Source organism: Homo sapiens, chromosome 18 (genome assembly GCF_000001405.40).
Source record: "Homo sapiens chromosome 18, GRCh38.p14 Primary Assembly".
NCBI classification, from domain to species: domain Eukaryota; kingdom Metazoa; phylum Chordata; class Mammalia; order Primates; family Hominidae; genus Homo; species Homo sapiens.
In genome coordinates, this window is record NC_000018.10 from 33,455,365 (window position 1) to 33,469,079 (window position 13,715).

A 13,715-nucleotide genomic window follows, 5' to 3' on the forward strand; every position below is an offset into this window, starting at 1 on the left:
AGTATTCAAGGCCTCAGTTTGTTATTTTCTCTGTATATACTATGCAGGGTCATGTGACAAAGTTAGCTGACAACTCAGCCTTTATAATCATTATTGTTGCAAAAGAGAGACTAATTTACAAACCAGCTGATTCCTAACACCTTACATTCTGTCGAATAATGATGTTATCCCTTGACTCAGACTACTGTGTAATATTTCTCTCTAGTGAGCATGTCGGCCATGTGCTTCTTAGCTATATGAGAAACCAATCTCAGAATCCCAATTTGAAGCTGTGTTTGCTGGGGCCACATATGCTACCAAATACTGCTATGAACAAAAAGAAGGCATTACAAATAGGTACTGTGGAGAGCCAAATAAAAGGATAACATACAACATATGAGCAGGATTTGGGGAAATCAAATGATTGGTTAAAAATCCTGGGAATAACAAAATGGTGAGTTTTTACCATCCACAGCCAGAGCACGTAATAGGAAATAGAGGTAACAGAACCCAGAATTATCAACTATACTCCTAGAAGAGGGTCATCTGACAGGAGTTCTAGCTATCAGTAGAGTAGTAAGAGTGAAACGGGAAAATTAATTTCCAAATATCACCCTTCTTCTGCCCTCCAATCTCTTGCTGGAAATCCCATTAGGAGATGGAAGCCAGAAAGCAAGGGTTCTCCTTTATTTATTCCAAATAATTCAACCATTTAGAGCACAGAGCAGGATGGTGAATGGTGAAGAAATAGATTCAGATGAGCAAATAAAAGTATCCAACGGGGTGTTAAATGCTTCTACAGATGTCTAGGAGGGTGCCCTAAACCCACGTGACCCAATGTGGGTCTAGCCTCAGGATAAGAGATAATAGGAAATAGTAGAAATTCAGGATAGTTTTGATAAGGATACAAAAGGTTCCTGGGTTACTTTCTGGTTGAAACCCAAGAAGATGCTGACCCTCAGAGAGCAGTCCATAAAACCAGCATGGTATAATAACAATATATTAGGAATTGTGACAGAGCAATTTCATGTAGAGGTAATCTGAGAAAGGCTCCATCATGCTCCAATCTCTCACAGTCACAGAAAAGAGAGAAAGTGAGACTGAATCTTTCCCATATTCACTGCTCTTCTTGAGAGGGCGACAGGGCATCTGAGATGGTGAGACGAATTGATGAAATCCCCTAAATAGTTATGGAACCCAAAAACCAATGCATAAAAGCTACTGTGGAACCTTAAACATGGCCTCAGATGCCAGTGGTACTAGATGCTAACAACCAAAGACTTCAGGGTAGGCTCCTTCTCAGATGCGTGGCATAAGATAGAGGACATACCACACCCATCGATGACAAGAAACTCCATAAAACATGGTGAGTAGAGGAGTCTTGAGTATACTCTGAGTTCATTAAGTGCAATTGAAACAAAATGTACTAAAATATATAAGCTCCATTGAAACCTACTAGATTCAATTATGAGCCATCAACCAAGTATTCAAAACAGAGATTATGTAATTGATAAGTAAAAAGTTACATTTGCCACCTGCATATGTGATTTGAAAATTCCTACCCAGAAAGCTGTACACACACACACACACACACACACACACATTATATCTACATAGTCTGTTGCACTAAAAATAATTTGAGCAAAATTGAGATCCGGGTGAATAGAAAAATTTTTCAATACCCATAGTTCTGTTCTGACTACCATCAGACATTTCAATTTGTAATTCCAATAAAATATATTACCCAAATGGCCTACTGTGTTAATCAGCACCATTTAGCTTAAACTCCACAAGCTTTATCTTCTACATACAATCTATAGCTCAATGTCATAAAAAAGTTATGTTTCTAAAGAAGAACATACATTTGCAGTTATTTTATTTTACTTTAATCTGTGACTACTTCTAACTGATAGTACTTAAAGCTTATAAATTTTACAAAAGGAATAACACAGTGATTATTCCTAGTGAAGCCCCTAGGGTGTGTAAGTCCAAGCAGTGATGACCACCACATGTCTTATTTAGCCTTCAAATTTTTCCTCTGACACAAGATGCTATTGCTAAATTAATTATAATGTAGAATTCCCATTATGATTATGTGTATGTGTTTCCTTGCAGTCTTTAACGTTTAACCATAAGATCAAAACAAAAATTTCCATTGTAATAAAACTCTACTTTCCATTAAATTTTAATACATTAGAAATATAAAACTAATATTTTTCTTGATTTTTAAAAGATAACAATGAACATTTGTGAATAATGAGAAGACATTTGTGCTTCAAATGAACACAGCATATGCCAGGTTTCAGCCCCAAGGTAATTTTTATGACCGAGTTACCAGATCCTAAAGTTTTTATGGTAGATATGTCACCTCTTTAAATATACATACAATAATTTCAAGTCTTTTGTCATATGAATTATTTCTGTTAATAATTTGGAAGCTCAAAAATGATTCTCCTTCTTAGTATGTCATCATGTCTGTTAAAATGTTATTTTATATCTTCTATCTTATTGAATTTTTCTGCTTCAAGCTCTATTTTTTATTGTATGATTGTATACCGAAATACAAAAACACACTAACAAAAGTAATGTTTCTAAGGCTACATGGACTAATGGTTGCATTTAGGAAAATGTTACATTTAAAAGATTAATATTCTTCTTAAATTATTATTAAATATAATGCACCTACTAACCTAGTAAGTAGCTTGCATTTAGCTATTGCTCTTAATTTTTAAATTCTTTGCTGCTAAATCTCCACTGATCTGCAAACATATTTAGGAGGAAGAAGGAAGTATAGCAAGCATTTATTATCCTTACTGGATACCTATTAAATATCAGATGCTGTTCTAAATGCTTTAAATTCATTAATTTATTTAATCATCACAAAAATTATCTGGAGTAGTTACTAATACTATGCCATTTTTATAGATGAATAAACAAATGTATGTTTGTAGAAAATATCACAGACAATAGGTGCAGAAAGCTGTCTAATCCAAGCAGCTAAATTACAGACTCATAATCTTAGCCACTTTTCTGCCTTACTGCAAATATGGGAAAACACAGGAAAATATAAACTGTTTACTCTAAAATTACAGTCTTATATTTTTAAGTAAAATTTAGGTAATCAGATTTTAATTCTATATCTGCTGAAAATGTTTTTTAGAATCAACTGAATTTAGGAGAATAGGATCAGTTAAATCATATGATTCAAGAAACAACCATAAAAAAACTTACCGTAAAAAGAAGTTTAATTTTCCTGAAAGATACATTTCTTTAATATCTCAGAGCTATGTTATGTGGCAGCCTTGATGACAGAGGAAGTTATTGCCTAACACCACAATATCCTAAAAGATAAACAACATATTAACTTGTTCGAAAACATATTTTAGGCTTCGGTGCTAAAGGGATATTTCTAAATATAGCAAATCTACCTCCGCATTATAATTAGTTCAATTTTGTTATAATGTTAACACTAGAATTTCTTTGTAATAAATACCCCATGACTACTTTACTAGTCCCTCCAGATTACAAAAAATCTTCAAAATAGCACATTATGTAGGAAATGCTTCACCTGTGAATATGTGAGGCAAATTGTTCTACATACACGAAAACCTCCTGGTTTCAGTTCCTATGTCCTCCCTCACCTATCTCTGCTTTTCACCTCCTACAAACTTGCATGCATCTCCACTCCCACCCATGCCACATAGAAGTCTTTCTAGCTCAAGGAATATGTGAAGAGGATAGTAAATGCCTGACAAGCTCTAATTCTATCTTGTAACAATCAGAACTTTTATTTCCCTGCAGGTTTTTCACCTCTGGGAAATGAGAGCCCATTATTCCACCTGACACATGAAGCATAAATAAAATAAACAGAGGGAAAAATAAAACAGGCTGTGATAACCATAACCTTGAAGGAAACAAATAGCTGAAGAGGTTAAATGTTGGTATGATCTAGTATTGATTCTTTAAATATCTCATTGGAAAATAAGAATGAAACTAAACAAATGTATTATTATATTTAGTAAGATTTATTTTTTCTAATTTAAAGATCTAGCATTCCTACTATGCCATAGAGCTTTAAATTACTCTCTTAAAATTATTAATGATAACATTAAGCATCCTAAAGCAATTCTTTTTAGTTAAGAGAAGTTTTATTTAAAACTTATTTTATTTTTATTTAAGTTTTATTTAAGAAGTTTTATTTAAAAGAGCAATTTTATTTAAGTTATTAGCAATGGTTTGTAGATAAATGGATTAACTCATGAAATTAACTCTTAGGTTTAAAATAATTTATTTGATTTAACATGTAGTTGGAAATGAGAAATTATTTTCTTAAAGTAGTCAGCATCAAAACTATTTTTGATAAAGTGTTTTTTTTAGAAAATGAAACTATCCATACATTGAGTCATTTATTCATTCACTAAACAAATGTTTACTAACCACTTAGCTATTTGCCAAAATTTTTATTGCAGTGAACAAAACAAAGGCTCTGCCCTGATAAAGTTTACATTCCACTATGGGAAACAGACAATTAATCCATACACAAATGGATATGTAATGTCAGGTGCCAAGAAGAAAAATAAGAGAAGTTAAGGAAGTAGAGTTATGAGGGTGGGTATTATTTTAGATGTATTGTTTAGGAAGATCTCTTGGAGAGGGAATCATTTAAAGAGAGATTTGAATGAAGTAAGGGAACAAGTCACAAGGCTATTTGGAGAAGTGTCACTGACTGAGGGAACTACAGATGCCAAGACCCAGAGGCAAGATAATGTAGATGTTTCTGCTATTTTTATATATTTATAGTAGTGTTAGAGGGTCAAACTGCTTTCTGAAAAGTTATGTACTGAAATTAATTGGATTTAAAGGGAATTAATATTAGGAGCATGATATGGTTTGGCTGTGTCCCCACCCAAATCTCATCTTCAATTGTAGTTCCCATTATCCCCATATATCATGGGAGGGACCCAGTGGGAGGTAATTTAATCATGCGGGCCATTACCTTTATGCTGTTCTCATGATAGTGAGTGAGTTCTCAGGAGATTTGATGGTTTTATAAGGGGCGTTTCCTCCTTTCGCTGGGCACTTCTCCTTGTTGCCACCATGTGAAGAAAGACATGTTTGCTTCCCCTTCCGCCATGATTGTAAGTTTCCTGAGGCCTCCCCAGCCATGCTGAACTGTGAATCAATTAAACCTATTTCCTTTATAAATTACCCAGTCTTGGATATGTCTTTATTAGCAATGTGAGAACAGATTAATACAGAGCAGATCACACACATTTTTTACAACTTCAAAAGCGATGACATAAACAGTTGTAGGTACCACCAACTGGGTCACCTAGGTAGGTAGTTAAGCATGACTGGGTGCTACCATAATGTGGGTCTTTAAAATGCACAAAATCAATAACTTGAAATCAGTTGGCAACTCTTAATATCAGACCTAGGCTTGCAAGAGCTGAGAGAATGAAGAAGAAAATGCAGTTGTAAGAGTTTGAGAGAGCCATTGAGTGGGCATGGGAGACAGTCCAACCCACACAGCTGAGAGTTATGCAAGGCTGGGGGGTAAGGTGTGCTGGTAAACGTGCCTTGTTTTTTCTTAGAGTGGGTTCTTAACCTCCAGTACAGCAGCTGAGCAAAGGCTTATTTCTTCCCTGTGGAAGTAGCTACAACTCTTCTCTTGCCATGTAGTTCCCTTTGCCTAGGAAAACAATCATATATAGATGTAGTACAACCTTGCATTATGCTGACATCATTACCCTCCTCACCTATCAAATAGAGGTGAACCTGCATTGCTGAAATATGTATTATAGAGAAAAATAATCTTGCTGTGTTTGTGGAAGAAAAATTAGGACAGTGTGCCTGGAGGCCAATGAGTGAACAGAACTGCTAGAAAATTACATCAAATAAGCAGGTATGTAGCGAAGACCAAATCCTGTAAAACTTAGATATGGCAGCAGGGCCAAATCATACAGTCATTAGGACTTTAGATTTTACTGTCAGTGCTATGAGAAGCAATTGGAAGGTTATGAGCAGGGGAATAAAATAACCTGTCTTACATTTTATAAGAAACACTGGCAGTTGAGCAGAGGATAGGACCTAGGAGTTGAGAAAGGGAAACTGAAGTGTTAGCTAACTATTCTGATGAGGGATTATTGCAGATTAAACATCATCTAGTCATGCTTATGGTAGTAAATGGTCAGATTGTGAATATACTGTTATAGATAGAGCAAGTAGGATTTTCTCATAGACCAGGTGTTGTTAGAAATAGAGAGAAGTCAAGTATAACTACAAGGTTTTTTCTTTTGCTCAATCCAAATGAATGTAGATATCATTTAAAATGATGGAATACACAGGAAAAGGAGTATTTTAACAGAGGTTCAGGAAGAAATCAACAGTCTCATTTTGAACATATTAAGATTGAAATACCTAATAAAAACCCAAGGCAGGATGTAGACTCCAAGATAAAAGAGAAAGGCTAGGTGAGACATATAAATCATTGCATCAGAATCTTAGGCATAGCAGTTGAAAATATGGAACTCAATGAAAGTCTCTAAGGAGTAAGTATAACTACAGAATAAGTCTGAGACTGATTGGTGGGCAACAACATTATTATTATTATTATTATTATTATTATTATTATTATTATTATTTTGAATCTAGAAACTTGACAAGGGTCCAGAGAAAGAGCCTGGGAATGAGTGAAAGACAAAGGACACTCAGAAGAGTAAGAGCATTATCAAATTGAAGCAAACCAAAGGTTTTAAGATCTAACAAGTGTGATCGAGTGTGTCAAATAATCTATATGAGGTGACGATTGACAATCAGTGAATCTCAGATGTATAGGTCTTTGGGGTTCACAACTGCATGATCTCAGTGAGGCAGTAGAGTGCAATGAGAACAGGATGGGAGAAGAAATAGAAGTATACACAACAATTGTGAGGCATGTAATATAAGACAAAATAAAAGTATGGCCTGAAGCTGCAGGAAAATGTGAGGTAAAGAAATATTTTAGTAAGCTAATAAATATTACTGCATGCTTATGTGGCAGTGAAAATGGCCCAGTATAGAGGAACACTGGATGTAATAGAGGCAAAAGATAAATGTGGGTGCAAAACAATTAAGTAAATGTGAAGAATGAGGATGAAGAAGCATGGTAAAATTACACACTGAATAAACCACTAGGCTCAAACCACAGGCTATAAAAAGAGAACATTTTAGAAGTATATAACTGGCCTCACAGACAAGTTAGATATTCCTAAGAGATGAAACAGAACAGAAATAAAAAATAGCACCAGGAGCAGAAGTTGTGAGTTTCCTGTACTCCAGAAACCAACAGAGGCACCTGGAATTTAAGTCATCCTGAATAAGAGGGACTAAAAGTGCTCTACAAGAGTCAGTGACCAGAACTCAGCTTACTTCTGGAACCCTTTTGTTTACCCTGGTCCTACTTTTGAGCAGGTTCTGGATAAAAACAAGAAAGCCCCCAACATTGGTTGGGTCTTATGGCTTACATGAAACTCTGCTGTTAGGAAAAAAGAGGGCATCGGTAAGTGCGGCCACATGTCTAGAAATGGAGCAAACTCACCTTCTGGCAAACCAACATAAGGAATATAAAAAAGAGAAGCAACAAAATCAACAATTTGGAAGTAAATTTACTTTATGTGACAAAAAATTAAATGGTTTTTGCAAAATACTCTAAATAATTATATTTAGAATCCTAGATGATAACAAATATCTACGAAATGCCAATTCAATGCTAGACATAATTTTAGGTGTTGGGAATAGCACCAAACAAACAAGACACACAAAAATCATTACCTTCATGGAATTTAAATTCCATGGATGAAATAATGAAAATAATTTCATATAAATATACAAGAAACTCTGAAATAGAACAAGATGAAATAAATCATAAGCAATCTATATGAGGTGAATCAAATTAAAATGTTGGAAATATAGTCATCATTAACATTTTTAAATGCAAAAAAAATTAATAAGCCCTAGACTGAAAACTTGAAGAGAATCAATAAATTGGAAAACCAAGAACACATATAGAAACATAACAACATTCAAAAATATGAAGAATGAATTTTAAAATGTAAACATTATTTCAACACACATCTAGTAGGAGCTCTAGATCAGGGGTTAAAGAGCCAGATAGTAAATATTTTAGGTTTTGCAAGCCAGACAATACCAGAGCATCTATAGACAATTCAAAAACAAATGGGTAATAAAAGTTTGTTAACAAAAACAGGCAATGTTCTTAGTTTGCCAATCTCTCTTCTAGAAGAAAAACAGAAACTGGTGGAAAATCAGTATTAAGAGGTAAGGGTAAACAATTTTCCAGGAATAAAGAAATTCATTAGTACTCCATTCAAAAGGACTTTCTGACAGCAAAGCAGAAGTAAAAAAAATAAATAAACACATAGATGCATTATAGTATAACTACAAAATATCAAAGACAGAAGATTTTAAAAGCCACCTGAGGACAAGAACTGCTGACTTACAAGGGAACAATAATTAAACCTGTAGCAGATTTCTTATCAGCTCAATAATGCCAAGAAAAATTGAATAATATATGAAAGTTGTCAACCTAACCCAAAATCTGATACCCTACTAATTATTCGAGAAGGTAGCCCAATTAAATTACTTTATAATAAAAAATACTACAATATGTTAACACTATCGAGCAGACACTAAAATATGTAAACCATAAACTTCAGCAAGAAGAAAATCCAACACAGAATGAAGAAATGGGGATTAAAATATACACAGCTGATTGTCATTATTCACAGTGATGTTCTATATAGGTGTTGGAAACTGAATTTTTGAATTCTGAGCCATTGCTCCTGGTAGAAATTTATAAGTGTATATCTATATCTATAGGTATACATCTATATCTAGATATATATATATATCACATATAATGTTAAATCTTAAAAATAACATCATAGTTGATTCTATTTTATTTATTTTGCAGAAAAGAAAATGAGGTTCAGAGTGTTAAGTGACTTGCCATATCAAAGTTGTGTCAGAGTTGGGAGTCAGACTCGGTCCCACTAACCCCAGACCTGGAGCTTCTTGCACTACATCGAATGCTCCTAACATCTCCACTCTCTGGTCATCTGTGCATGAGATCTGAGCAAGAAGGCAGAGCATAGTCTTGTTCCACCTCAACTGTGAATGTGTGTCTACTTCAATTTCTCACCACCTGAGTATGGATTTTAGGGTTCCAAATAAATTTCAGTGAATAGGCAAATTTACAAATATCACATCTGGGAACAATGAGGGTCAATTACATACCTATCTGTATTCATGATATCAGTATAGTTTCCTATTACATGAAAAACAAATGTGATATATTTGGTTTTGTGAAAACTTAAGCTACAAATTTCAGACAGAAAAATAAGATAGAGGGGCATCATTCGTGAAATAAGTATATAAGATTGACTTCTGTATCTCTCTGGGGAGTCATGTAGACTTATCAAATTGTGCAGAAAAGTGTTAACATGTTAATAGGCCTGATATTGCTATCCTGAGATACTCCCCTAGTTAGTGCTTGGTTGACATTTGGGAACTAACATTTCAGGAGGGTTCTTACTATTCCGTAACTGATAAAGGTGGCTCACTGGACATAAAGTATTAGTGCAAACAGTGTAGCTTGCCAAATACCTGGTTTTCTTCTGGGAGTCTGGGATTTTGGTACATGCTAGGCAAAGGGCACTCAATCTAAAATCCCTGGGCACTGAGTTTTTAATGAGCCTCCCTGGCAGACGATATCTCACTCATGTTGCCACAACACATTGTTAGAGGAATTAAGTGATCCACTAGGAGAGGACTCTTGGGAGCACGTGCCAGGTTTCTTCAAGACTTTGCTCCATGTGCCTTTTCCATGTGATGATTTTGCTTTGTATCTTCATGCTGTAATAAGTCAATATATCAAGGTCCCTAAGTATGACTATATGTTGAGTGCTGTGAGTCCTCCTAGTGAATCGCTGAAACTGCAGTTGGTTTCAGGGACCACTACTCATGAATGAATGTCTATTAATTCTTTAAAAAGGAGATCCTGCCATTTTTGACAACATGATGAACCTGGAGGACATTAGGCTAAGTGAAATTAACCAGACATAGAAAGTGAGATGCATGATCTCACTTACATTGAAATTTTAAAAAGTCAAATACAGAGAAGTAGAGAGTAGAATGGTGGTTACCAGGGTCAGGGAGTTAGGGAAAATAGGGAGATATTGGTCAAAGGGTACAAAAGTTCAGTTATGTAGAGTGAATTTGTCTAAAGAGATAATGTACAACATGATGATTGTAGTTAACAATACTGTATCATAAACTGGAAGTTTCCCAAGAGAGTAAGTTTCAGTGCTCTTATGACACTTACAAAAAATGGTAACTGTGAAGAGATGGGTATGTTAATTTGCTTGACTGTAGCAATCATTTTACCATGCATGTGCATATCAAAACATCATATTGTATACCTTAAACATATACAATTTTTACTTTAAATGTTTTAAACTCCAAAACATTTATAATTATTTGTGAAAATTTTATAGCCTTAGGAAGCATTGCTTCCAGATATAATCCTATAGCTTTTTAAGTACTTTTTTTTAACCCAGTACAATCAACTATAAATTGGACAAAATATATAAGCATCTCTTTTTTTTTGGACATTAGAAAACAGGCAAAGCAGAATTCTAATCTATGAGAGAAGGAAGAGCTGCACATGAGTTGAGCTGCACATTTGCCCAGTTCTCTGTCCAGGATATGGTCCCCTACTGTGGCACAGGGAGCTGGGGCCCAAGGGTAGTGGCAGTCTCACTGAACTGGGAAATGAGAACTAGTTAAAGGCTGCTGAAGCATTAAATTTGGGGTTCAAGGTAACAGAAAACAGGGAGCTGGATGGAGTTGGCAGAACTCTCTGTACCTCCACTGCCATTGGTAAGGATAGAAGTACTGGGAAGATCCAGAAAGAGAAGTTATTTCCCAAAGTAACAGACCATGAAGACTCAGTGCCAGGCACAAAAGTCATTATTCAGAGTTCACAGAGTTCATTCTCATGATCATTAAGCAATAAGGACTTAGCAAGGTGATATTGATTGGATCTGTGTTCCCTCCCAAATCTCATGTTCAATTGTAATCCCCAATGTTGGAGGTGGGACTTGATGGGAGGCGATTGGATCATGGAGGTGGATCCTTTATGAATGGATTAGAACCATGCCTTTTGTGCTATTTTCATGATAGAGTTCTCACAAGATCTGATTGTTTAAAAGTAGGTAATTCCTCCCCACCCCCCTTTTTCCTGCTCTGGCCATGTAAAGTGCTGGCTCCCTTTTCGCCTTCTGCTATGACTGTAAGTTTCCTGAGGCCTCCCCAGAAGCAGAAGCTGCAGAACCATGAGCCAATTAAAACTCTTTTCTTTATACATTACCCAGGGTCAGGCATTTCTTTATGGTGATGCGAGAACAGACTAATGTGCCAGGGAAGAGCTAGAAAAAGTAGAGTGTGAAAGCAAGAGAGTTAAGAATAAGCCCTGATAGACATTGGAAGTCAGTTTCCAGATAATGAAAATGCCTACTTTTAATCAAAAATTGTAACCATCATGGGAGAGATGCCAGCAGTTAATTAGTGGGAAAGCTAATACATAAAATGTCCCATTCTTGTATTAAATTTTCTACATGACGTCATGGTCTGACACTAATGTTTTTGTCTCATATTTTACAATGTTTCCTTTATGCCTATTTATTTTATTGTAAACAATCATCCAGACAACATGTTATAATTAAATGTGTTTAAAATTTACCAGTTTATGAAATTTAATGAAGCAACTATCCTATCCAATCCCTAGTCTTCTTCCTGAATGCAGATTCAAACTAATACTCAAGATTGCCACAAAATCTTAAATTGGATATAATAAAATACACAGACACACACGCGCGCGTGCACACACACACACACACACACACACACTAGCTTCTCCAAATCTTATGTTCCTTTGCCTCCTTTTGTGATTAATACAAATTAATATTCACGGTACTTATAACACAAGACTTTGGAGTCATATTTGAACACTCCTAAAAGACTCAGAGTCCAAAACACCTGGAGTCACATTTGAAGACCGTGCTGCAACATCTCCCACCCTACCCTGCTCAGCAAACAATGGGTTGCCAAATCATGAAGATCCCATTCTGCACTCCAAAATCCCGACAGAATAATGTCCTCAAAGCACAGCTTTAACCACATCATTTTCCTGCTCCCAAACCACTCTTCACCTAGTGCACATTACTTTAATTGAAGAGGAGCTATGAAAAATAAATACTCTCATATACTAAATTTATAATCTTAAATATGGTAAGGACAGCAATGTTGCAAGAACCCTGAATCATCACAGCCCTGGAGGTTAAGGAAAGCATTGTGTGTTAGTAAGCCACTAATAAAGTACAGTAGACAAATCTAGTTACAAAATAAAATGGCAGTTGCTTAAATAATGGTAGCCTGTTTAGTATGTAAATAGTAAATTTTGCCCCTGGCAGACTTTGGTTTCTATTTGTCAATTCTCAAAAACATTAAAGATATTTCTAAATTGTGTGTTTGTGCGTGTGTGTGTGTGTGTTGTACGTGTGTGTGTGTGTGGAAGAGAGAGACAAAAAGATAATTTCATTTATTTTTAGTAATCTATTCTGGTCACAGCAATGCCCACTGGCAGAAATACTTTGATTTTAGAGGACAAAGAATATATTACCAGCCAAATCCATCTGGGATAAAAGGGTTGCTCTATGTATAATAAAACATTAATTCACCAGAAATATATATTATTCATATTATAGTCATACATTATTAGTGTTCTATGCTAAATAAAAGAAGATGGACAGGAAAATGACACATAGAAAAAAAGCTACATGTTCATTTCATTTTTGGAATAATGTAAATAATTGGAAATCTGTTTAAGAGCAAATCTTATTTGGATTGATACTAATTCAAGTCATGGAGCTCATTGTTATCTAAGCACTCCATGCCACTCAGCAATTTTATTTATTCCCTTTTAGCTCCCGCTCTCATTCATACTACCACTACTCACCAAAAGTGTACTGGTAGAGCCTCTAATTCCTTAACTGCCTTACTAATTTATTGTAAAACAAAAGTGAGATTTTCACCACAAACACCCTCAAGTTACTATCACTGGTCTTTCAGAAAATTACTCACAGTTGGACCCATCCTTCTTCCTATATGATCATGTGATATTCTTCCTATTCTACATCAATTCCTCTACTTGAATTTTTTATTTTTATAAATCATTTTATTTTTATTGAAAAATAATATACATATGTCTATATAATTTTTAACACTAAGCTACAAAAATAATATCAAGGAAAAACAAATCTTCTTACACTAAATCTTCGGTGCCCCATCCCTAAGAAGTTCTTTGAAAGCTTCAAGAAATTTAAAAACTTTTCATACAAATGAGGACATACTGTTTACCCTTTATGTTCCTTTTTGATCCAATATGATCAGTTCTTTTTCCTTTCATTTTATTATTTTTTCTTCACAGCCTCCTTTACTTGACCCTTAAATTTTCTACAGGTCTTCTGTCATTGCCTTTCCTTCCAAACTATGAACTCTCACTGCACTATATATAGTATCTTGGTTTTAACTCTACTATCTATTGCTTGACATTTACAAACTTCTATCTTTAAGCAAATTAAAGCCTGCTTAAAAGTAGCAAATCCAGGTTATAT